At 60.2% G+C, this 24,969-nt stretch overlaps 1 protein-coding gene across 20 annotated transcripts in view; it reads left to right on the top strand.

The window, feature by feature from the left end:
* BRF1 (BRF1 general transcription factor IIIB subunit) overlaps positions 1 to 24,969 on the top strand; it is a 106,304-nt gene extending 81,335 nt beyond the window's left edge. For 12 of the 20 annotated variants that reach the window (NM_001440451.1, NM_001242787.2, NM_001242788.2 and 9 more), the window contains 12 exons: positions 5,342 to 5,435; positions 7,495 to 7,621; positions 7,965 to 8,004; positions 8,094 to 8,186; positions 12,341 to 12,607; positions 14,125 to 14,186; positions 15,023 to 15,104; positions 15,202 to 15,257; positions 16,455 to 16,711; positions 22,091 to 22,142; positions 22,962 to 23,133; positions 23,667 to 24,969. In NM_001440451.1, coding sequence (NP_001427380.1) covers positions 5,342 to 5,435; positions 7,495 to 7,621; positions 7,965 to 8,004; positions 8,094 to 8,186; positions 12,341 to 12,607; positions 14,125 to 14,186; positions 15,023 to 15,104; positions 15,202 to 15,257; positions 16,455 to 16,711; positions 22,091 to 22,142; positions 22,962 to 23,133; positions 23,667 to 23,704 — 1,340 coding nt within the window. In that variant the 3' untranslated portion in view covers positions 23,705 to 24,969. The other 8 variants (XM_047431305.1, XM_047431302.1, NM_001440449.1 and 5 more) reach the window with 4 other exon arrangements.

Here is a 24,969-nt window from a genome sequence, read left to right as displayed (position 1 = left end):
AGGGCTGCCAGGCTGTCCCCCGCCCCCAGCTGGGCGACTACGCGGACAGTGGTGTGGCCTCTCTCTCCTGAGATGCTAGGTTGTTGCTCCTGAGGGTGCCACGGGGCTGCCAGGCTGTCCCCCGCCCCCAGCTGGGCGACTACGCGGACAGTGGTGTGGCCTCTCTCTCCTGAGATGCTAGGTTGTTGCTCCTGAGGGTGCCACAGGGCTGCCAGGCTGTCCCCCGCCCCCAGCTGGGCGACTACGCGGACAGTGGTGTGGCCTCTCTCTCCTGAGATGCTAGGTTGTTGCTCCTGAGGGTGCCACGGGGCTGCCAGGCTGTCCCCCGCCCCCAGCTGGGCGACTACGCGGACAGTGGTGTGGCCTCTCTCTCCTGAGATGCTAGGTTGTTGCTCCTGAGGGTGCCACGGGGCTGCCAGGCTGTCCCCCGCCCCCAGCTGGGCGACTACGCGGACAGTGGTGTGGCCTCTCTCTCCTGAGATGCTAGGTTGTTGCTCCTGAGGGTGCCACGGGGCTGCCAGGCTGTCCCCCGCCCCCAGCTGGGCGACTACGCGGACAGTGGTGTGGCCTCTCTCTCCTGAGATGCTAGGTTGTTGCTCCTGAGGGTGCCACAGGGCTGCCAGGCTGTCCCCCGCCCCCAGCTGGGCGACTACGCGGACAGTGGTGTGGCCTCTCTCTCCTGAGATGCTAGGTTGTTGCTCCTGAGGGTGCCACAGGGCTGCCAGGCTGTCCCCCGCCCCCAGCTGGGCGACTACGCGGACAGTGGTGTGGCCTCTCTCTCCTGAGATGCTAGGTTGTTGCTCCTGAGGGTGCCACGGGGCTGCCAGGCTGTCCCCCGCCCCCAGCTGGGCGACTACGCGGACAGTGGTGTGGCCTCTCTCTCCTGAGATGCTAGGTTGTTGCTCCTGAGGGTGCCACGGGGCTGCCAGGCTGTCCCCCGCCCCCAGCTGGGCGACTACGCGGACAGTGGTGTGGCCTCTCTCTCCTGAGATGCTAGGTTGTTGCTCCTGAGGGTGCCACGGGGCTGCCAGGCTGTCCCCCGCCCCCAGCTGGGCGACTACGCGGACAGTGGTGTGGCCTCTCTCTCCTGAGATGCTAGGTTGTTGCTCCTGAGGGTGCCACAGGGCTGCCAGGCTGTCCCCCGCCCCCAGCTGGGCGACTACGCGGACAGTGGTGTGGCCTCTCTCTCCTGAGATGCTAGGTTGTTGCTCCTGAGGGTGCCACAGGGCTGTCAGGCTGTCCCCCGCCCCCAGCTGGGCGACTACGCGGACAGTGGTGTGGCCTCTCTCTCCTGAGATGCTAGGTTGTTGCTCCTGAGGGTGCCACAGGGCTGTCAGGCTGTCCCCCGCCCCCAGCTGGGCGACTACGCGGACAGTGGTGTGGCCTCTCTCTCCTGAGATGCTAGGTTGTTGCTCCTGAGGGTGCCACAGGGCTGCCAGGCTGTCCCCCGCCCCCAGCTGGGCGACTACGCGGACAGTGGTGTGGCCTCTCTCTCCTGAGATGCTAGGTTGTTGCTCCTGAGGGTGCCACAGGGCTGTCAGGCTGTCCCCCGCCCCCAGCTGGGCGACTACGCGGACAGTGGTGTGGCCTCTCTCTCCTGAGATGCTAGGTTGTTGCTCCTGAGGGTGCCACAGGGCTGCCAGGCTGTCCCCCGCCCCCAGCTGGGCGACTACGCGGACAGTGGTGTGGCCTCTCTCTCCTGAGATGCTAGGTTGTTGCTCCTGAGGGTGCCACAGGGCTGCCAGGCTGTCCCCCGCCCCCAGCTGGGCGACTACGCGGACAGTGGTGTGGCCTCTCTCTCCTGAGATGCTAGGTTGTTGCTCCTGAGGGTGCCACGGGGCTGTCAGGCTGTCCCCCGCCCCCAGCTGGGCGACTACGCGGACAGTGGTGTGGCCTCTCTCTCCTGAGATGCTAGGTTGTTGCTCCTGAGGGTGCCACAGGGCTGCCAGGCTGTCCCCCGCCCCCAGCTGGGCGACTACGCGGACAGTGGTGTGGCCTCTCTCTCCTGAGATGCTAGGTTGTTGCTCCTGAGGGTGCCACAGGGCTGCCAGGCTGTCCCCCGCCCCCAGCTGGGCGACTACGCGGACAGTGGTGTGGCCTCTCTCTCCTGAGATGCTAGGTTGTTGCTCCTGAGGGTGCCACAGGGCTGCCAGGCTGTCCCCCGCCCCCAGCTGGGCGACTACGCGGATAGTGGTGTGGCCTCTCTCTCCTGAGATGCTAGGTTGTTGCTCCTGAGGGTGCCACAGGGCTGTCAGGCTGTCCCCCGCCCCCAGCTGGGCGACTACGCGGACAGTGGTGTGGCCTCTCTCTCCTGAGATGCTAGGTTGTTGCTCCTGAGGGTGCCACGGGGCTGCCAGGCTGTCCCCCGCCCCCAGCTGGGCGACTACGCGGACAGTGGTGTGGCCTCTCTCTCCTGAGATGCTAGGTTGTTGCTCCTGAGGGTGCCACGGGGCTGCCAGGCTGTCCCCCGCCCCCAGCTGGGCGACTACGCGGACAGTGGTGTGGCCTCTCTCTCCTGAGATGCTAGGTTGTTGCTCCTGAGGGTGCCACGGGGCTGCCAGGCTGTCCCCCGCCCCCAGCTGGGCGACTACGCGGACAGTGGTGTGGCCTCTCTCTCCTGAGATGCTAGGTTGTTGCTCCTGAGGGTGCCACAGGGCTGCCAGGCTGTCCCCCGCCCCCAGCTGGGCGACTACGCGGACAGTGGTGTGGCCTCTCTCTCCTGAGATGCTAGGTTGTTGCTCCTGAGGGTGCCACGGGGCTGCCAGGCTGTCCCCCGCCCCCAGCTGGGCGACTACGCGGACAGTGGTGTGGCCTCTCTCTCCTGAGATGCTAGGTTGTTGCTCCTGAGGGTGCCACGGGGCTGCCAGGCTGTCCCCCGCCCCCAGCTGGGCGACTACGCGGACAGTGGTGTGGCCTCTCTCTCCTGAGATGCTAGGTTGTTGCTCCTGAGGGTGCCACGGGGCTGCCAGGCTGTCCCCCGCCCCCAGCTGGGCGACTACGCGGACAGTGGTGTGGCCTCTCTCTCCTGAGATGCTAGGTTGTTGCTCCTGAGGGTGCCACGGGGCTGCCAGGCTGTCCCCCGCCCCCAGCTGGGCGACTACGCGGACAGTGGTGTGGCCTCTCTCTCCTGAGATGCTAGGTTGTTGCTCCTGAGGGTGCCACGGGGCTGCCAGGCTGTCCCCCGCCCCCAGCTGGGCGACTACGCGGACAGTGGTGTGGCCTCTCTCTCCTGAGATGCTAGGTTGTTGCTCCTGAGGGTGCCACGGGGCTGCCAGGCTGTCCCCCGCCCCCAGCTGGGCGACTACGCGGACAGTGGTGTGGCCTCTCTCTCCTGAGATGCTAGGTTGTTGCTCCTGAGGGTGCCACGGGGCTGCCAGGCTGTCCCCCGCCCCCAGCTGGGCGACTACACGGACAGTGGTGTGGCCTCTCTCTCCTGAGATGCTAGGTTGTTGCTCCTGAGGGTGCCACGGGGCTGCCAGGCTGTCCCCCGCCCCCAGCTGGGCGACTACGCGGACAGTGGTGTGGCCTCTCTCTCCTGAGATGCTAGGTTGTTGCTCCTGAGGGTGCCACGGGGCTGCCAGGCTGTCCCCCGCCCCCAGCTGGGCGACTACGCGGACAGTGGTGTGGCCTCTCTCTCCTGAGATGCTAGGTTGTTGCTCCTGAGGGTGCCACGGGGCTGCCAGGCTGTCCCCCGCCCCCAGCTGGGCGACTACGCGGACAGTGGTGTGGCCTCTCTCTCCTGAGATGCTAGGTTGTTGCTCCTGAGGGTGCCACGGGGCTGCCAGGCTGTCCCCCGCCCCCAGCTGGGCGACTACGCGGACAGTGGTGTGGCCTCTCTCTCCTGAGATGCTAGGTTGTTGCTCCTGAGGGTGCCACGGGGCTGCCAGGCTGTCCCCCGCCCCCAGCTGGGCGACTACGCGGACAGTGGTGTGGCCTCTCTCTCCTGAGATGCTAGGTTGTTGCTCCTGAGGGTGCCACAGGGCTGCCAGGCTGTCCCCCGCCCCCAGCTGGGCGACTACGCGGACAGTGGTGTGGCCTCTCTCTCCTGAGATGCTAGGTTGTTGCTCCTGAGGGTGCCACAGGGCTGCCAGGCTGTCCCCCGCCCCCAGCTGGGCGACTACGCGGACAGTGGTGTGGCCTCTCTCTCCTGAGATGCTAGGTTGTTGCTCCTGAGGGTGCCACGGGGCTGCCAGGCTGTCCCCCGCCCCCAGCTGGGCGACTACGCGGACAGTGGTGTGGCCTCTCTCTCCTGAGATGCTAGGTTGTTGCTCCTGAGGGTGCCACGGGGCTGCCAGGCTGTCCCCCGCCCCCAGCTGGGCGACTACGCGGACAGTGGTGTGGCCTCTCTCTCCTGAGATGCTAGGTTGTTGCTCCTGAGGGTGCCACGGGGCTGCCAGGCTGTCCCCCGCCCCCAGCTGGGCGACTACGCGGACAGTGGTGTGGCCTCTCTCTCCTGAGATGCTAGGTTGTTGCTCCTGAGGGTGCCACAGGGCTGCCAGGCTGTCCCCCGCCCCCAGCTGGGCGACTACGCGGACAGTGGTGTGGCCTCTCTCTCCTGAGATGCTAGGTTGTTGCTCCTGAGGGTGCCACGGGGCTGCCAGGCTGTCCCCCGCCCCCAGCTGGGCGACTGTTCTAGTTGGACCTCTGTGACCCCCCAGGTCGCAGCTGTCACTCAGACTCTCACTTTGCCCTTGGTGCTGGTGGGTGGATGTGGCCGTGGCCTGGTCAACTACCCCAGCTCCGGAATTGGAGCCCCAGGTCGGCAGGGCCCTCACTCCTCATCCGGGCCCTTACCCTCGTGCCCACAGAGTCCACTCTACCCGGCAGGCCAGGTACCGGCATCCCTGCGCTGCAGGATTCAGTCCACCTGAGAAGCCGTTCCATCTGCACACATGATCTCCATGTTTGCACTGGAGGTTCTGGGCCCACTGTGGCCTTGGTGAACCTGTGTCAGCTGCCAGCTGTGGCCTCGCCCCTTTCCTGCCCAGCCTGGCTCCGCATCCTCAGAGTCCCCAGCTCCCATCACAAGCTGTGTTTCCCGCACAGTCATCTTAGAGTTAGTTTGTTTGCTTTGAGGGATTACGTGAAGCTCTCGGAAGCCTTCATTTTAATTTTCCTTGATTTGAAAATGGAATGGGTGCAGCCGCCACCCACAATAAGATAGAGAGGGTCATGTCGTTCAGGAGTAGCCATGCCAAGTGAGGGTCTCACTGCCTGGCACAGACACGTCTTCTCAGGCCATCATCTCCGTGACCGGGATCCGCAGTGTTGTCCTGGGCCGCCACAGATGTTGCCCTGGTTCCCAGCCGTGGTTGACGAGGCCCGTCTCGTTGCCTTCCAGCGCTCCTGGTTGCAGCCAGAATGCATGACTTCAGGAGGACTGTGAAGGAGGTCATCAGTGTGGTCAAAGTGTGTGAGTCCACGCTGCGGAAGAGGTGAGGGGCTCTCATTCATGGCATGGGGACCACACAGAGGCTTCATCAGTCCAGCTCAGGCCTGCTTGCCAGAGCAGGCGCCACCTCCCGGGACCCTGCCGTCCCCCGCCTGGCTGCTGGCCAGGACCTAGCCCAGCCCCGGTCACACTATGGCTTGGACGTGCTGGTGGGCTGCCTCGCCTCCCTCCAGAGAGTTCCCTGCTAGTCCTTCTGGGGCCGGCCCTATCCTGCGGAGGCATCCTCCTCCTCCGATCCCTGTATTTTTTTTTTTTTTTTGAGGAACAGCCTTGCTCTGTCGCTTAGGCTGGAGTGCAATAGCGTGATCTCGGCTCACTGTAACCTCTGCCTCCCGGGTCCAAGAGATTCTCCTGCCTCAGCCTCCTGAGTAGCTGGGATTACAGGCGTGTGCCACCACGCCTGGCTAATTTTTTAGTAGAGATGGGGTCTCACCATGTTGGTCATGCTGGTCTTGAACTCCTGACCTCGTGATCTGCCCGTCTTGGCCTCCCAAAGTGCTGGGATTACAGGCATGAGCCACCGCGCCCCGTGTTTCTAAGTTGAGGCGGAGGGTGATGTGTAAAGTTGCCCTAAGTCACAAACAGGCATGAGGCTGTCTTTGACGTCAGAAGCCTGGTCCGTCTCCTTTTTGCTGTGGCCCGTCCTGGACTTTGAGAGCCCAGGTGACCCCTGTCCCAGTGAGAAGCCGGAGTGCCATAAGAGGTCCCCGCATCAGTGAAATGAGTGGCGTAGCAAGCCAGGCAGGCAGGGGTGGGGCTTTGCACCCCGGCTTTGCTGGGTGGTATTTGTCGGGGTTCCTCACAGCTCGCCTGCACCGCAGCCCTGTTTCATAGACTTTGACAAGGTAAATGTGACAGTGGAGTTGCTGCCACCTGTAACTGCTGTGACATTTATCACAAATCTTAAACACAGGACTGCTGTTTTTCAGCTGAGATTGTGTCCTGTGGCATTTTCCAAAACCAGCTGTAAAGTATTTCACTTTAAACATCTGACCATTGATTCTGTAAAAAAAATCTTTGATGAAACGTGTTTGAAGGTTGTGTAGCGTGTAGAGGCGTTCGTAAGAACTGAGCCCCATGGCTCACAGGCCTGCAGGGCCCCTTCCTGCCCGACTGCCAGGTGCTGAGGTTCTAGCCCAGCCTCCTCTCTTCAGGCCTTCTGAGTCTTCCGCCTAGGATTGGGGTTCTCTTGTGAGGGATGAGGGTGCCTGTGGGCCTTTCTCCTAGTGAGCAGAGGTCCGGGCAGGATCGGGTAGGGGTGGAGAAGCCGCCAGAAGGGACCTGGGCGCCGAGGGGCAAGGCCTGAGTGCCAGGCCCCGTGGAGGAACATCCGACAAGCACAGTTCAGGTATTTGTTTTTATTGTTATTTATTCATTTTTTTGACACAGATTTTCGCTCTTGCCGCCCAGGCTGGAGTACAGTGGCACGATCTTGGCTCACTGCAAGCTCCGCCTCCTGGATTCAAGCGATTCTCCGGCCTCAGCCTCCCGAGTAGCCGAGATTACAGGCTCCCACCACCATGCCCAGCTAATTTTTGTTATTTTTAATAGAGATGGGGTTTCACCGTGTTGGCCTGGCTGGTCTCAAACTCCTGACCTCAGGTGATCCTACCACTTCGGCCTCCCACATGCTGGGATTACAGGCATGAGCCACAGCACCTGGCCTTTTATTTTTTATGTATTTTTTGAGACAAAATCTCACTCTGCTGCCCAGGCTGGAGGCCAGTGGCGCTATCACAGCTCGTTACAGCCTCAACCTCCTGGGCTCAAGCGATTCTCCCTGACCTCAGCCTCCCAAGTAGCAGAAACTACAGGTGTGTACCACCATGCGTGGCTAATTTTTTTTTTTTTTTTTGGGTAGAGACAGAGTCTCACTGTGTTGCCTAGGCTGGTCTCAAAGTCTTGGACTCAAGCAATCCACCCACCTTGGGCTCCCAAAGCACTGGGATCACAGGCATGAGCCACGCCCAGGCGAAAGCTCAGTTTTAAACAGCTGGTTTCAGAGCCACCAGCTCCATTTCCCATGTCTGGCTCCATTTTAGGCTCACGGAATTTGAAGACACCCCCACCAGTCAGTTGACCATTGATGAGTTCATGAAGATCGACCTGGAGGAGGAGTGCGACCCCCCCTCGTACACAGCTGGGCAGAGGAAGCTGCGGATGAAGCAGGTAGCGCCGGCTTTGGTGTCTGTCTGTGCTGGGCTTGCCAGCCTTGGGGGGAAGCCACACACCCCGACTGGGGTTGTAGCAGAGCTGGTGCCATCCCAAAGCCTCATAGCCGCTCTTCAGTGCTATGACCAGCCAGAGCCCGAGGCTCCGGGATGCCCCTCACACAGACTCTGGGAAGTGCCACCTCTTCCCATGGGGGACACAGGCCCATAGCTCCACCTCCATCGCTGCGTACCCCTAAGTTCTAGCAGCCTGTGGTCCCTGGGGCCCACGCGGCACCCCAGAGGCTGCGCTGTGCACCAGGGCCTCCCTTCACGAAGCCTCTTGCCCTGTTCCCTTTCAGCTTGAACAAGTCCTGTCAAAAAAACTGGAGGAGGTTGAAGGTAACCAACCAATCTTCCCATGTAATGCTTCTGTTTTGTTGGGAAAATTGATTTTATGCTGACTTTTTGCTTTTAACTTATGACTTCAGGTGAAATATCCAGTTACCAGGATGCAATTGAGATTGAACTAGAAAACAGCCGGCCAAAGGCCAAGGGGGGCCTGGCCAGCCTGGCAAAAGATGGTGAGTCCACTGTGCCCGGCCCCTATTCAGACCTTTAAAATGTGCTAGAGTCTCAGCAGATCTCTTCAGGATCAGAAAAAGACCTGGAAAGGGAAGGGGATTATCTACAGAATGTAAGTTTACCACCGGGCAGGGTGGCTCACGCCTGTAATCCCAGCACTTTAGGAGGCTGAGGCAGGCGGATCACGAGGTCAGGAGATGGAGACCATCCTGGCCAACATGGTGAAACCCTGTCTCTACTACAAATGCAAAAATTAGCTGGGCGTGGTGGTGCGCACCTGTAGTCCCAGCTCCATGGGAGGCTGAGGCAGGATAATCATTTGAACCTGGGAAGTGGAGGTAGCAGTGAGCCAAGATCGCACCACGGCACTCCAGCCTGGGTGACAGAGCGAGACTCCGTCTCAAACAAAAAAAAAAAGAATGTAAGTTTCCCCTACAAAAGACAGCTTTGCGGGGCCATTTCAAAATATGTCAAAGATATTTTGGGGTAAAATATTTTTATTTCTTTCAGGGCCTGCTACCTGTCATTGATGTTGTACTAGAGTCAGGTTGGAATTTGGTATCTGTTGCTACAAAGTCTGGTCAATCATCAGATCTGTGTTTTGATGTTAATGCTGATGAGCTGTGCCTGAACTCCAAAGGGAGGGGGTATAAGCGGGTATAATGAGGCGTGTCTGACCCCGCCCCCACTTCCCATCATGGTCTGAACTAGCTTTTCAGGTTTCTTTGAAATCTCCTTGGCCAAGAGAAGGGATCCATTTGGTTGGTTGTGGGGCTTAGAATCTTGTTTTTGATTTGTATTCTGTACTGTGTATTTTCACTTGGGGGTTAGTAGGAGCCACGGGAGGGCCTGAGAACAGAGGCAGGAGGTAGGGAGGCTGTTGCAGGAACCCAGGGTGAGAGACCTGGCCCAGCCTGGTCGAACTCTGGAAGTACTTTTGGGGCAGAGCCAACAGTCCAGGGAATGTGCATGTCCCGGGAATGTGGCAGCCGGAGCCCCCAAGGCTCCTGGCACCTGCGGCCTGGGCCCACTTGCCCGGGGAGGGGCTTCTGAGAGGCTGCTCTGTCCAGAGGTCATCGTCCACTGACAGCTGCTCTCTGGGGATCAGGTGCTTTCCCCCAAGGAGCCATTCCTCACCATGGGGACCCCTCCGGGACTCAGTGCTAGCCAGGAATCTTGTATTGGAACACATTCAGAAGAAAGCAGTCTAAGACTAGGGAGTGGGTCAAGCATGGTGGTTCATGCCTGTAATCGCAGCACTTTGGGAGGCAAATACAGGAGGACTGCTTGAGCAGAGTTCAAGACCAGCCTGGTCAGCATAGTGAGACCCCATCTCTACAAAAAATAAAAAAATTAGCTGGGCATGGGAGTGTGCACCTGTAGTCCCAGCTCCTCGGGAGGCTGAGGCCGGAGGATCACTTGAACCCAGGAGTTCGATGTGCAGTGAGCTATGATTGCACCACTGTATTCCAGCCTGGGCAGCAGAGCCAGACCCTGTCCCCAGTATACACACACACAAAATCCAGAGTGGGATGTTTTAAGATGAGTTTTGCCAACCTTAAAGGAAGAAGCAGAGGCAAAAGTAATCTACATAATTTATTTGGGTCAAGCTTGAGGATTGCAGCCAGGGTGGACATATCCCATTGCCTTGAATATACACTCTGGTGAGCAGCAGTTACACATGGACTTTTTCTTTTTTTGGAGACAGGCTCACTCTGTCACCCAGGCTGGAGTGCAGTTGCATAATCTCAGCTCACCACAACCTCTACCCTGTAGTTTGAAGCAATTCTCCTGCCTCACCCTCCTGAGTAGTTGGGACTACAGGCATGCGCCACCACGCCCAGCTAATTTTTGTATTTTTTGTAGAAACGGGGTTTCGCCACGTTGGCCAGGCTGATCTCGAACTCCTGACCTCAAGTGATCTGTCCACCTTGGCCCGCCAAAGTGCGGGATTACAGGAGTGAGCCAGCCTCAGCTACAGATGGATTTTTAAAGGCAAAAAGGGACAGTGATTGGATAGATACAAAGTTGTCTGTTGGGAATTCTCATTGGCTTACAATAGTAACGTTCATTCGTGATTGGCTGTACATCGTTAAACTATTGGGTGCGGCATTATTGGGTTAGTTTAGAGCTACTTGTGGCAACAGCAAGTGGTTTCAAGAAATGAACACGTAGCTCAAGGAGGAGGAGTCACATTCCTCCCGTGAAAGTTCTTTTCTCAGTCTTTTAAATTTACCATTGGGTGATTTTTAACAGCCTTATTGAGGTGTGATTGCCGTATGAAAACTGCTCATATTTAAAATGTGCCCTTTGATTTCTGAACTTTGATGTCTGCACACACCTGTGAAGCCATAGTGACAACCAAGAAGACCCACAGATCTGTGGCTCCCACGGGGTCCACAGGCCCTTGGTCACCACCCCCCCTCCTGCCCCAGGCCACCAGTGAGCTACTTTTTTCACGATAAATTAGTTGTATTCTGTAGAATTCCGTAGGAGTAGGATCACATAGTATATGTTTTTCCCTTCGGCTTTTTTCACAGTGTAATTATGTTGAGTCACGCATCAATGGTTTGCTCATTTGTGTTGTGGCGTGGCAGTCGGTAGTCCTTCAGCACGCTGAGGGTGTGTGTTGAGTCACGCATCAATGGTTTGTTCGTTTGTATTGTGTGGCAGTCGGTAGTCCTTCAGCACGCTGAGGGTGTGTAGCCATTCATCTGTTAGAGGACATTGCACGTTTGAGGCTGTTTCAGATGCGCTCGTGAACACTCGTGTACAAGTCCTTGTGTGGACGTTGATTTCCTTTTGGGTCAATTGCTGAGGAGTGAAATTGCTGGGTTATGTGAAAGGCAAGTGTGTATGTCTTTTTTTGTTGTTTTTGAGACGGTCTTACTCTGTCACCCAGAGTGGAGTGCAATAGTTCCATCATAGCTCACTGCAGTGTCAACCTCCTGGGCTCAAGCAACCCTCCCATCTCAGCCTCCCAAGTAGCTGGGACTGCAGGCGGGCACCACCACACCCAGATAATTTTTACATTTCTTCATAGAGACAGGATCTTGCTGTGTTGCCCAGGCTGGTCTGGAACTCCTGAGCCCAAGTGGGCGGCCACGAACTGCCTGTCTTTAAGAAATGATCAGGTTGTCAGCCAGGCGCAGAGCCTCACGCCTGTAATCCCAGCACTTTGGGAGGCTGAGGTGGGCAGATCACAAGGTCAGGAGATCAAGACCATCCTGGCTAACACAGTGAAACCCCGTCTCTTCTAAAAATACAAAAAATTAGCCGGGTGTGGTGGCGGGCGCCTGTAGTCCCAGCTACTCAGGAGGCTGAGGCAGGAGAATGGCGTGAACCCGGGAGGCGGAGCTTGCAGTGAGCCGAGATCGCGTCACTGCACTCCAGCCTGGGCGACAGAGCGAGACTCCGTCTCAAAAAAAAAAAAAGAACTGATCAGGTTGTCTCCAAAGGGTTAGCACCATGCGTGGAAGTGCAAGGGAGCGTGTTCCCCCTGTCTGGGAAGTGCGGCCTGGTTTTCTTTTCAGGGCTAGACATTCTGATGGTTGTGAAGGAGGAGCTTGGGGTGGTTTCATTTGCATTTCCTTCAGGACTGGAGGTCTTTGTATATGTTCATTTACACCAATATGTCGTCTTCGCCGGAGTGTTCAGATCTTTTTCCATTTTTTAATTGGGTTGTGTTTTCTTGTGAAGTTTTGGGAATTCTTCATCTGTTCTAGATTTAAGTCCTTTATCAGTTACGAGATTTGCAGATAAGCCTGTGGGCTGTCTTCATTGTCTTAACGATGTCTTTCAAAGGGCAGTTCTTAATTTTTTGGAAATCCGTTTTATCAGTGTTTTATGGATTCTGCTTTTAGAACCATTAGAAATGTTTGCCTTATCCAAGGTCACAAAGTTTTTCTTTTACGTTTTTGTCTGAAATGTCTGTACTTTAACTCTCCCCCTAGGTCTGTGATCTGCTTTGAGCTAACTTCCGCGTGCAGTGCGAGGTGTGGGCTGAGGCTCGTTCTTTGGCACCTGACCGCCAGGCACCGTGCACTGACAGCCGTTCTATGGGTTACCTGGCAGCTTGGTAGCATTGTTTTTTGTCACAAAAGCGGGCACCCTGGCCCTCTGCCTGGTTAACAGGTGGATTGTGTACACCTAGGCTCCACCGAGGACACCGCGTCCAGCTTGTGTGGCGAGGAGGACACAGAGGACGAGGAGCTGGAAGCCGCGGCCAGCCACCTGAACAAAGACTTATACCGGGAGCTCCTTGGTGGTGCCCCCGGCAGCTCGGAAGCAGCAGGAAGCCCCGAGTGGGGCGGCAGACCTCCGGCCCTGGGGTCCCTGCTGGACCCCCTCCCCACTGCAGCCAGCCTGGGCATCTCAGACTCCATCCGCGAATGCATCTCCTCTCAGAGCAGCGACCCCAGTGAGTTCTGATGGGGCCCTGGGGGACGCTGAGGTCATCGGGAGATCTTTCAGGCGTGTGCCTCTCATGGGGAGAGCCGGATGCTGCCATCCTCTGTCGGGAGGTGTGGTGGTCTCGGGCGGTGGGCTTGGGTGGTGGCACCACCAGTCCCCCCAATGGGGCTGTGTGGGCGTCAGTGGTCCTGGCGTGAAGAATTGGGTGTGTGCCGACGCCAGAATGCAGTGAGTCTCGTCACCCTCACTGGGACCGCCTTCAGGTCACAGGGGCCACGGAGAATGGAGCCCACAAGTTGTGTCCAGGAGTCCCATGGGGCAGCTCCACCCCTCATCCGCTTGTCCAACATGGTCGGGGGAACGTCACTTGCTGAGCTTGGGCGTGGCAATGACGAGGCACCCCTGCCCCATAGTGCCCAGGCCAGGCCACCGTGCCCATCTTGCCCCCCCTCACCTTGCCCATTTGGCTGGGAGCTCTAGGAGAAAGGTGGGTCCCATCCCCCATCCCTGCCAGGACAGGCTTCCCTGGCTGAGAGCCTAGACCTTCCTGCAACGCTTCACCCTCAAGCCCTGCCTCCCGTCGGGCACCAGGGCCTGGCCTCTGTGTGAGGAGCCAGGCGAATGTTTATCAAGTGATATCTGGGCCGGGGTAGAGACAATCCTGATGGTTGGGGCTGCTGTGTGGGTGGAACCCAGGCGAGTCACACAGAGCAACAGGCAGAGGGGACATGCACAGGCCCTGGGGCAGCCAGCGGCACAGTGACCCTGAGCAGAAAGGGCCATTCTGGCTGGAGCTGAGGAAGGGCTGCCTGTGAGTGCTGAGAGGAGCCGTCTCTGGCCTCGGCCCTGGAGCAGCATGGCAGGAGAGCACCTCAGACAGTCTGGCCCTGTGCTGGAGTTGACTTGGCAGCACGGGGCAGGCAGCTATGGCGTGGGGCTGTGGCAAGGAGAGGCTGTCCCAATTCCAGGCTGTGCAGATGCTGCCTGGACTGCGTGGGGCTGGGCAGGGGTGACAGGCAGGTTTTGGGGTGTCCTGAGCATGATCATGGAGGGCTCCCTCAGGCCTGGACTCCGGAATCATTTCTATTCCCTCATTTCTATCCCCAGACCTATGGGCTCAGTGATGGGGAGCTGGCTCCCCTGAGCACAGACCCCCATCTCACTCCGTGGCCTGACCTTTCCTTCCTGCCCAGCTTCCGTGCCCTCCCTCGGTCTTTGGGGCCTGACAGCCTCTGTCTCCTGTTCTTAAAAAGTTGCTTTTTTACAAAAAGCACAGAAGTGCTGGGGTTTTCCTTTGCAGCTTCAGTTCAGTGTTCTGCTGGCTTCGCTTAGTGTCCTGAGCTAGGCATTTAAAGAGGTGCGGTCATGTGGGCAGACAGGGCGCGACCCACCAGTGCAGAGGAGGGGACGGGGTTCTAGAAAGCCCTTAGCCCAGACCCAGGGTCCTGAGCCAGCCCAGGTGGTGGCCACGCTCCTATAATCAGTGCTGGCCCTGAGTGACGCGGATGCTGTGCTTCCCTCCAGAAGATGCTTCAGGAGACGGTGAGCTGGACCTCAGTGGCATTGATGACCTGGAGATTGACAGGGTACGTGGCAGCACCCCTTCCCAAGAGGGGCTGGGCTTGGGAGGGCGCTGCAGCCCAAGGAGCCCTGAGTGGTCGGGCGGGGTTGGCCACCTCCCCTGCCCAGAGCCCACCCCGCTGGGTGAAGTGGGCTCCTGGCCTTCTGGCCACTGTTCCCGGGACCCCCCCCCACACTCTCTTCTCCAGTGTCGGCTCGGGGGCGGCCTGTCGAGAGGCCCCTGGCTTTGCGCCTGGTCCTTGCGGCCCTCGGCACATAGCCTGCAGCAGGCACACATCGCACAAATAGCACCAGGGGCAGCCCCTCGAGGGGTCTCTAGACACAAGAGGGCACCCACTGACTCCACATGCGCTGTGCGCCCCCAAACCCCAGGGCTTCCAGCCATTGGGACCAGCTCTTTGCAGTTTATCTCAATATACTTGCCCTCTGTCAGGCAGGAAGTCGTCTTCCCTGATTTCATGGCCACGTGGTGCCTCAGACCCCTCCAGCCTGGCCCATCTGTACCTGAGTGGGAGGCTCTCACCCTCACTTGGCCCCTTTGTGGGAACCTGTGGCCTGCACTCTGGCTGGCCAGGGTCCTGGTGCCGGCAGGGCTTGCAAGCTGCCCTAGGGGGTCTCACACATGTGGCCTGCGTGGTTGGCCTTGGGACAGGCCACAGAGCAACAGGTCCCCAACTCGCCCCGCGCGATGAGGCCTCAGCCCAGGCTCCGCACTAAATAGAGGCTGCCCCGGGTTCCCCTTCCTCTAACGGTGGAAATACTTCCCGCTGGCCAGCGCGACCTTAGCATGCCCCGGTGTGCGAAGGCTAAAAGCCAGCCCCACTTCCCTGTGCTCGCCCAGTACATCCTGAATGAGTCGGAAGCCCGCGTGAAGGCCGAGCTGTGGATGAGGGAGAACGCCGAGTACCTGCGGGAACAGAGGGGTAAGCGCCACCCGCCCACACTCACACGCAGGACGCACAGTCCCCAGGCCTGGGGCGTGGGCCCTCAGTGACGCTGGCCCCCTTTCTGAACTTTTAGAAAAAGAAGCAAGAATAGCGAAAGAGAAGGAGCTCGGCATCTACAAGGAACACAAGGTGGGCGCCTGTGACGCTGGGCCTGGCCTTCTTGGGGGTGTCCAGGTTACGGGGGGCAAATGTCTCTGGAATGTCCCTTCCCCATGTGACAGGAGGGTCTAGGCCCCAGGGCAGGCAGCCGGAGGCCATGTGCTCTGGACCCCAGACCCACGTCCTTAACCACTAGGTCCTGCCCCGTGCTGGCCACAGGCGCCCAGCCGTCGGCCTCACCTTGGAGGGCGTGTGCTCAGCTTTGGGGTAACCTTCTGGATGCAGCACCGGGGCAGACTGTCGAGACTCGGGGCTGGACGCTGGGGTCCCTGCCTGTGTTAACGGGTTTGCTCTTCTGACGCCCTGGGAAAGTCCGACTGTCATGCCTCCCTGCCTTGTGGCCGTCACGGTGACTTGCTCTGCCAGCTTACTCTCTGGCGGAATGTGCCTTCAGCCTCGTGGTGCAGGCAGCAGTGGTTGAGCCTCTGAGTGACTGAGCAGGAGAAAACACGGGGAGCCAGTTCCCTGCCTGCGAGACTGGGGTCCCTCAGACGAAGCTGGAGGTGGCTGGGATGGCAGATGTGGGGCCTACCCGCTCAGCAGGACCCGGGGAGCTTGTGGTCAGAGAGTTAGGAGCCCAGGGACTCCACCCCACCCAGCAGCACGTCCCAGGCCTTGCTGGGCCACGCAGGAAGGTCATCGTGCAGCGGGGGGCAGCAGGGGTGGTGCAGGCTGATTGCCCTGAAGTGGTCTATGGCTCCAGCTCCTAGAAGGAGATCCAGGGTCTTCGGGCAGCTGGGGCCTTTGACGTGGGCAGCGGTGCTGGGGTGGATTGTCTGTCTTCACTGAGTAGCCATCTCTGCTGCAGCCCTCACAGTGCAGCAGCACATCGCCCTGCCGTGTGCATGTGGCCCTGCCCTGTGTGGGACCCAGGGGCAGCAGGGCCCTGAGCACCTGTGGCATGTTTGCTGCTGTTGCTGTCTGGAGGCCCTGCCAGCACCCATGCCAGGCCACGTGCCCCACTCACCTGGGAGGGCAGGATTTGACGTGGGCAGGCCCAGAGAGCACCAGGCTGGCCCACATTCTGGGGGGAGGAGGCAGGAGCGGCCCTTCTGAGGGCCTGAGCCAGGCCTCACCCGCCTGCACTCCTGGCCTCACGTGGAGCCCCTGATGGTGGAGTGCAGTGGGCGTGACTCACGGGAGGCATTCTTGCTTGTTTCCCTCAAGCCCAAGAAGTCTTGCAAGCGACGGGAGCCAATTCAGGCCAGTACCGCCAGGGAGGCCATCGAGAAGATGCTGGAGCAGAAGAAGATCTCCAGCAAGATCAATTATAGCGTGCTCCGGGGCCTCAGCAGCGCCGGCGGGGGCAGTCCGCACAGGGAGGATGCACAGCCCGAGCATAGCGCCAGTGCCAGGAAGCTGTCACGAAGGAGGACGCCGGCCAGCAGAAGTGGGGCTGACCCTGTGACCAGTGTGGGGAAAAGGTACCATCCTGTCCTGAGTGGCTGGGTTAGGGCAGCAGCCCAGGGCGGGCAGAGGCCCATGGCTTCGGGTCCTGGAGCTGCCGGGGGCCAGCCGGGGCCACAGAAGTGCCTGGAGTGGCATTTGCCACCTGCATGCTGGGGACTGGTGGGCCTTCTCCGGCACCTTGACAGTGTCTCAACTCTCCTTGGCCTGGCAGGCTGTGAGCGGACGGGCGGGTCCAGCTGTCAGGGGGGTCCTGCAGCCTAGGCTCTGTTTTGTCCCAAGGAGGGGCTGGGACAATCCGTGGGGTCGGTGCCTTCTCCAGCCTGGGTTCGGGAAGAAGAGTCCCCAGCCCTGCCGCCCTGTGCCTGCTCTGCGCACCCTGGCTGCATTGCCGTCTCTGCTGAGGTGATGGGTGAGAGCAGCACACTGCTGAGGAAGGAGGATGTGGGTGGAGAACGTGGCTGAGGGACGTCAAAGGCGGGATGTGCTGGCCTCAGCGCACAGGGTCACGAGGCTCTGCAGCTCCATGCAGGGCCGCCTTGGAGTGGGTCGGCCTCTGTGCACAGCTTGCCGCTGGGTGGCGGCTGCAGGCTCTCCTGACGAGGCCATGGGCAGCTGGGCTCACCTGCTGCGTCTTGGGGGCCTGTGGCTGGTCCATGTGTCCCTCTGGCAGTGGAGATGGGGTTGGCGGCTTAGCTTCTGGGTCCACCCTTTGGTGGTTCCGACCTTCACTCCACCCCACCGAGTCTCCGGGCTGGGTGTGTCTGCTGGTCCTACTGCTTCTTGGGATCTCTTGCGTTGTCTCCAGCTGCTTCCGCCTGTGGGGCAGTGCTGACTCTCGGCAGCCCCGTCAGGGCCTCCTGTTGTTTGCGGTATTTGCGGTGGTTTCTCCTTGGCCTTTTGAGCTGCTAGGCTGGCCACTGCACCCCGCGAGAGTTGGCTGTGCTGTGGCCCTGCCCCTGCCCCTCCCCTGGGGTGCCCAGGTGCTACTCTGTGAGGGAGCCTGACCTCCTGGCAGGCTGGTGCTTCTCAGCCGGCGTCTCAGCCCCTCAGGAGGGCCGCATGGGCTGTCTCCTCCACATCAGCCATGCACTGGTCCTCTGGGGGTGCATTCCTAGCACAGCTCCTGGCATGCGTAGGAGGTCAGTGGGGCAGAGGTGAAGTCAGGGCAGGTCTGTGGCTCGGTTCCCCTGTGCCTGAGCACTCCCAGGTCCGATCTGAGGCTTTAGTCTCCGTGTCCTCTGCCTGCCTAGCCAGCCTCTGTCAGCGCTGGAGGTGGGGGTCCTGTCCCAGTTGGGTGATTCTGGTGCCTGGTGACAGGGTTCACAGCCCCCTCTGTCACATCTGACCAGCTGGCCCAGACAGGGCCCGGGTGTGCATGTGTGTCTCTCTGTGTGTGTATACATGTACATGCAGTGCGTGTATGCCTGTATCTGTGTGCATGCAGTGTGTGCCTGTGTCTGTGCGCATGCAGTATTTGTGTGCATGTGTGTGTGTGTGCCTGTGTCTGTGTACGCAGTGTGTGTGCCTGTGTCTGTATGCCTGCAGCGTGTGTGTGCATGTGTGTGTGCGCCTGTGTATGCAGTGTGTGTGCATGTGTGTGTGTGCCTGTGTCTGTGTATGCAGTGTGTGTGTGCCTGTCTGCGTATGCAGTGTGTGTGTGCCTGTGTCTGTATGCCTGCAGCGTGTGTGTGCATGTGTGTGTGTGCCTGTGTCTGTGTATGCAGTGTGTGTGCATGTGTGTGTGCCTGTGTATGCAGTGTGTGTGCATGTGTGTGTGTGCAGTGTGTGTGCATGTGTATGTGCCTGTGTCTGTGTATGCAGTGTGTGTGTGTGCATGTGTGTGTGTGCCTGTGTGCATGCAGTATTTGTGTGCATGTGTGTGTGTGCCTGTGTATGCAGTGTGTGTGTGCCTGTGTCTGTGTATGCAGTGTGTGTGTGCCTGTTTCTGTGTATGCAGTGTGTGTGCGCCTGTGTCTGTGTGCCTGCAGTGTATGTGTGCATGTGTGTGTGCCTGTGTCTGTGCATGCAGTGCGTATGCACACAGTACGTGTGTGCGTTGGTGCACTCAGTACGTGTGTGTGTGCATGTGTTCTGGTGTCTGCACACAGTGTGTGCCTGTATCTGTGACTGCACATAGTGTGTGTGCATGTGTGTAAGTTTTTGTGTGCAAATGCAGGTGTGCACGCCTATGTGTCTCTCTGTGCATGCAGTGTGTGTGCATGCAACATGTGTACCTGTATGTCTACAGATTGTGGTGTGCAGGTCTTTGTCTCTATGTACACGTGTGTGCATGCATGTGTCTGTATACACTGTGTTTCTCTGTGTGCGTGGGGCGTGTGTGTGTGTCTTAAGTCTCTCAACTGTGTGCAGTGTGTGTGCATCTGTGAGTCTGTGTGCACACACATCTGCGTGTTCGTGCACTGCTTCCTGCTTTAGAAACCCATCAGTCTTCCCCCCAACATGGCCATGATCTGATTCGGGAATATTTAGTGTTCTAAGACGGAAGCATGAAGACCTCAGGGCTGGGGACCCCCCACACTCCCACCCCCACTCAGGCCTGGGCAGCTCAGGCAGTTCCAGCGGGGCAGGGGAGAGGGGGTCTACCTGGGGACAGAAGGGCTTGTCCCGGTTGCCCTTGCAGCCCATGGGGGCAGCTTTTCACCCACACTCGGGTGAGGAAAAAGGGATTTGGACCACTTGGAAAGAGGCTGAGGCTCCGACGTGGGGAGGGGTGGTGGGGAGGGACCATCAAGGAGGGGTTCAGCTGAGGAGGCACTGCCTCAGCCCAGCGACCACAGCGTTCCTCAGCAGCAGCTGTGCTGCCTTGGGTGGCCCAGGCATGGCAGTCCCTCCTTGCTGTGGGGGAACCAGCCTGAGCTGCACCCCCTTTCTCTTTGGCTGCCGGTGGCTGCCTAGCCCATCTCCCTCTGGCCACCTGCCCCTGGTCCTGCGTCATGATGCATGCTTCCCCTGATGACAGACAACTGCAGAACCTGAGCTGGGCCACTCAGGGGTGTGGGCAGCTGAGCCACGCAGGGGTGTGGGCAGCTGAGCCATGCAGGGGTGTGGGCAGCTGAGCCACGCAGGGGTGTGGGCAGCTGAGCCACGCAGGGGTGGGCCATGCATGGGTGTGGGCAGCTGAGCCACACAGGGATGTGGGCAGCCGCTCCCTCCGAGCTTGTCTCCTCCTCACTCTGTGGTCACTCGGGCTGCTTTGACCCTCGGGGTCTTCCTCTAGCCCATGCAGATCAGTCTGTCCTCATGCCTGAGCGTCCCACTCTGGGGACAGGCAGAGGGGCCAGTGTGGGCTGTGGGCCCCAGCGCCCATATCTGGAAGGGGGACAAAGTGGGGGCCCACCAGATGAGCTGCCCTCTTGCCTGCTTACAGGCCCCAGGATCCCCCCAGGCTGGGCTGGGGCCGAGCTTCAGCCAAGCGGGGTCAGCAGGTGCTGGCGCGGCTGCGAGAGGGAGCAGCCTGAGCCCAACAGTGGGTTTGCGTGAACAATGGGCCGCAGCGCCCCACATCCTCAGGCCCCTGGCTGGGGACCCCCGTACAGGCCAAAGCCATGGCCGAGGTGATGCCAGGTGGGAGCTTGTTCTCCAGGCGCTCTCAGGCCCTCCCGTGTGGCCTGGCTGCCTCAGGTTCACACAGGATACTGCGTGGAAGAGGGGGAAGCCCTTGAGACAGGCCCCCAGCTAGCCCGCAGACCCCAGGAGCCCTTGCGGTTCTGCACTCATGAACACTACGCACCCTCTCTCCAGCCGGGTTCTGCAGGAGTAGGGAGCTTTCTGGCCCCCCAGGGTGAGGCCTGGCACAGCTGCTTCCTGGTTCTGGAAAAGCTGGACTTGTCTGTCAGGACCTTGGGTCAGTGCAGCAGGACCTTGTGGCTTGAATTTCAGCCTGTCCTCAGTGCCAGGTGGGGGAGGGAGGGTGTGTCCCTGCAGGAAGCGCACCCTCCTAACAGCACCGCTCTCCCTGTAGCCCCGTATTCCTGCCCGCCAGCATCTGCTCCTCTCTAGCTAAGGTACAGTCTGCCAAAGTCAAAGAAACTGCCTCTTCCAGAGGTTGCAGTGGGCCGAGATCGCGTCACTGCACTCTAGCCTGGCGACAGAGCAAGATTCCGTCTCAGAAAAAAAAAAAAGAAAAAAACTACCTCTCCTTGAGCCAGCGGGGTCTCAGGGCCCTTCTCAATGGGGGCCTGCTGGCCTCACCTTCCAGAGCATGAATCTCCTGGGGACTTAGTCCCACCGGCCAAGATCAGGCCTCCCACCCAACTGCCAGGCCTGCCTCCTGGAGCGCCAGCCACTTCTGGAGAGACCACAGTGGGGTGTCTCATTGAGGTCAGCCTGCTGAGAAGCCCCGCTGCAGGGCCAGCTGCCATCCCCAGAGGCCCCCACTCCACTGCACAGTGGGCCTGGGGATGGGAGTGGGGAGGGCGGAGCAGCAGCTGTCAGGCTCCAGGAAGCAGGCTGGAGGCCTGGCCTGAGGATACAGCACCACCAGGAGCCCTGGTGTCCAGACTGTCTCCAGTCTGGAGAGGGACCACATGGGGAGCCCGGGGCCTCAGCCTGGCTCACACCTGCTATCAGCTTCACCCCGAGCAGAGCTCCACGTCTAGATGTTCTGCTAAGGTCCACCTGTCATGGGGTCCCTTCCCAGTGTCCCGAGGGTTCATCTGACACGTCAGAGCCAGGCAGGGCCCTGCCTCAGGCCCCCTACCGCCTCCCCACACAGCTGTGCCCTGGAGGGAAGGGCTCTGCCCCGCTGCGTCCTTCCCCACAGGCCCTGAGCCCTCTCATTGCCCGCCCGACAGCCCTGTGTGTCCGTGCTGGAGGTTGTGGGTAATGCCTGCGTCCTCTCCCCTGGGCCCCCCTGTCTCCCTGGGGGGACCAGCAGTCTCCAAGAAGACTTGGCATGTGGAAGGCACCTTTGGCCTTTGTGTGTGGCGGGCCGGCGAGCAGGCCCTGTGCAGGGTGTTGTCAGCAGATGTAGGGATTGCCCTGGGCCTGGTGAGGGTTGGGGAAGCACTCTCGGGTCTGACAGTGTCCCTTCACCCTCCCTCCCCTCCTCCCTGAGTGAGGTAGGGCACCAGGCAGCTCCTTGAGGGCTCAGGCACTGTTGGAAGGGGAGTGGGCTGGGGAGCGGGGCGTCTGCAGCTTCTGTGTTTGTGTCGAGTGCTGCTCGCTGTTGAGAATGTGAACGGGTCAGAGCTCTGTGTTGATGTGCAGTGAGCACTGATGGAGCACACAGAACCTGGACGCAGAACCAGGCTTCCAAAGGGACAGAGAAACAGTCAATTAACACTGGGAAAGGGAAGATGGGCAAAAGGGAACAAGTGGGCAGGCGTTCGGGAGCCTGGGCTGAGGCCGCCATGCTGTGCTTCCTTTTGCAGGTTGAGGCCTCTGGTGTCTACGCAGCCAGCAAAGAAGGTGGCCACGGGAGAGGTGTGTTGTCCCACGCAGCCAGGGCAGGGAGACCTTGGGAGGCAGCCCACTTCTTCCTGGGCCCAGATGCTTGGTCTGTGACCACAGGGAGAGCAGGCCTGACAGAGGCGCCTGCCCCTGCTGCCCCATACTTGCCTGGCATGGCCAGAGAATCGAGGCCCGAGGGTGGGAGCTCCCGGTTGCCGGAGCAGGAGCGGGCAGGAAGTGGGGACCGTTGTGTGCCTGCTGCTCAGCGCTCGGGCCAAGGCTGAGCAGCCTTGCTGTGGGCCTGGTGCCTGCAGGGAGCCTGTATGTAGGAAGCAGGCACTGCCAGGTCACAGGGCCCAGCCCTCCAGGGCTCAGGGGTCTTTCACCTGGACTGTCACTTGTTGGGGACTGGTCTGGCCCAGGAAACGAGGGTGAAGGTGCTGGCAGGTGGCGGGGGCTGGGGCAGGGGCCGGAGCAGAGCCTCTGTCTGTGTTCTGGGGGTCAGGGCAGGCCAAGCCCCCGGGGGCTGAGGCCACAGTGTCCTCGGCCGAGGCCTATGGTCTGGAAAGGTGTTCTGCATGCTCCCCGAGCACTGGGGTGGGGCCCAGTAGGATACAGGAGCAGGGGCTGGCAGAGGCCTGAGGGTGGGATCTTGATGCTGACACAGCTCATGGCACAGCCCCCAGGAGGCCAGAAGGGGCCAGTGGGCCTGGGAGCCCTGGCCAACCCCGGGAGCCACTGGTGTGGCGGGAGTGGCTGAGCATCCTGGGCCAGCCCTGGTGGGTCTGAGGGGTCTGTTGAGATACACAGGGCTCCCAGCTCTGTGTGTGTCAGAGCCCCACTTCGTTCCAGGCTTTGCTCCCAAGCTCTCCCACCCTCGGAGCTGAGCCTGCCAGGCCCCAGGCGGTGCTGGTGGAGAGCGGGCCCGTGTCATACCACGCCGACGAGGAGGCTGACGAGGAGGAGCCTGACGAGGAGGACGGGGAGCCCTGCGTCAGTGCCCTGCAGATGATGGGCAGCAACGGTGGGTGGGGCCCGACAACAGGGAGGGGTTCAAGGGAAATAAAGGCATCAGCTACTGCCCCTCATGATCCCTGAACTTGGGCCTGTTAGCTTCAAACTAAATTTCTGTTTCTCCCTGGAAAGAAATTTGAACTAAGACATTTTGTAAATTGGTCATGTCGATTGTGAGGTTGGAGGCAGCCAGGGTCAGAGAGGCTAGGGACGGTGAGGTACCCACCACGAGGGCCGCCCAGCCAGCAGCACGAGGTTCCCGGATCTGCACACCACCACGGACCTGCACACCCAGGGAGGGAGGCTGAGGGAGCCCACACTGCTCTCAGGTGCCCTCGACGAGGAGCAAGGCCCTGCTCTGGGTGCATGCCAGTCCCGGGAGGTGGAGAGGAGCCCAAGATGGCTCCTGGCGGGGCGCGGGGGGCTGGGGCTGGGGCTGGAGCCTGAGTCTTCTAGGGGGGCACCAGGAACAGGGCGGGTTGGGGGGTCTGGGCTCCTGGGTCCCACAGAGACCCTGGGCTTCATGACTGTGCTCTTCTGCAGACTATGGCTGTGATGGCGATGAGGACGACGGCTACTGAAGTGTGGCCTCCAGGCAGGTGATGTCCTGGCAGGGGGCCTCGCGGGTCTCCTCAGCATCAGACGGGCTTCCAGGACCGCAGCAGGCAGGCCCCAGCGCCGAGACTCCTGGTGACAGGTGGCACCTGTCCCACAGCCCTCGTCCCATGTGGAACTTACCATTGGGATTGTGTTTCTATTCAGCAAGGGAAACCGGACCAAGCGTCTGCATGTGTGTGATCAGATGTGGGCCGGGTGTGTGCAGGGCTGGGTCCCGCTGCCTGCCGTCGACTCATCCAAGGACCCTCCAAGGCTGGCAGTGTGGTGTTGCTACTATTAAGGAAACAGGCTTGGGGCAGCCCCACTGCTGGTCCAAGTGTGTGGAGGGCTGAGTGTGCTGGCCCTGTGACTCAGGACCAGCTCTGGAGTCTCCAGCCCACCCTCCGCACCGTCCCCTCCTGAGCAGCACTCGGCGCCAGCAGCCTCTGCCAGAGTGGAAGCCAGAGCCCTGCAGGTGTCCGGCGCAGCCGTGGGAGCTGAGGATCTGGCACTTGAGAGGCAGCAGCTCCTTGAAGGTCCTCTGCCTCCAGCTGTGGCCCTGCATCCAGATACCTGCCTCGTCCGAGGCAGACACCCCCACCCCTGCCTCCTCCAGACCCCCCTCCCCGCTGCCTGCACCGCCTGGAGCAGCATGGGGGTCAGACCCCTGCTCCAGGGCCACTTGAGTTGTGGGCCCAGGAGCCCTGCGGCTGCCGGCAGGTGAACTGAGTGCCCGACAGCTGAGACCGGCGCCCACCCGTCCTGAGCATAGCTCTGTAGGCAGTGCGGGCATAGCCTGCATAGTGTCCTGGCGCTGGGAGTTCCCCGTGGACAGAGCCAGAGGGCAGTGGCGCTCCCTGTCAGAGCTGGATCAGGCCCCCCATCGAGGAGGGAGGGCAGACGGAGGCCCGAGAGCCTCCCCAGGCCTCTTCGTGGGAAGGCCCCAGTACCACTCGTAGGAGGTCTCAGCTCTGGCATGGCTGCCCCGGATGTGGCCGAGGGGGCTTCACCCTGTGTCCTTAGGAGGGGGTGGCCTTGAGGCAGAGCCGTGCCTCACTGACCCCCAGGGGCCTCATCCTCCCCATGGAATGGGCTGTATGTCCTGCCCCAACTTGGCCCGCAGCAGGCCAGACCCCCCTACCCCCGCCCAGAGCTCAGTAGCCAGCCTGGGTCCTGCCAGGGCTTCTCGAGGGCTTGGGGGAAGAATAGATTTAGTAAAGCAGGAAGATCTGTTGTTACTTAACAGAAA

This window comes from Homo sapiens, chromosome 14 (genome assembly GCF_000001405.40).
Source record: "Homo sapiens chromosome 14, GRCh38.p14 Primary Assembly".
Taxonomy (NCBI): domain Eukaryota; kingdom Metazoa; phylum Chordata; class Mammalia; order Primates; family Hominidae; genus Homo; species Homo sapiens.
Note: the sequence above shows the minus strand (reverse complement) of the source record. Positions and strands in the feature narration are given on the sequence as shown.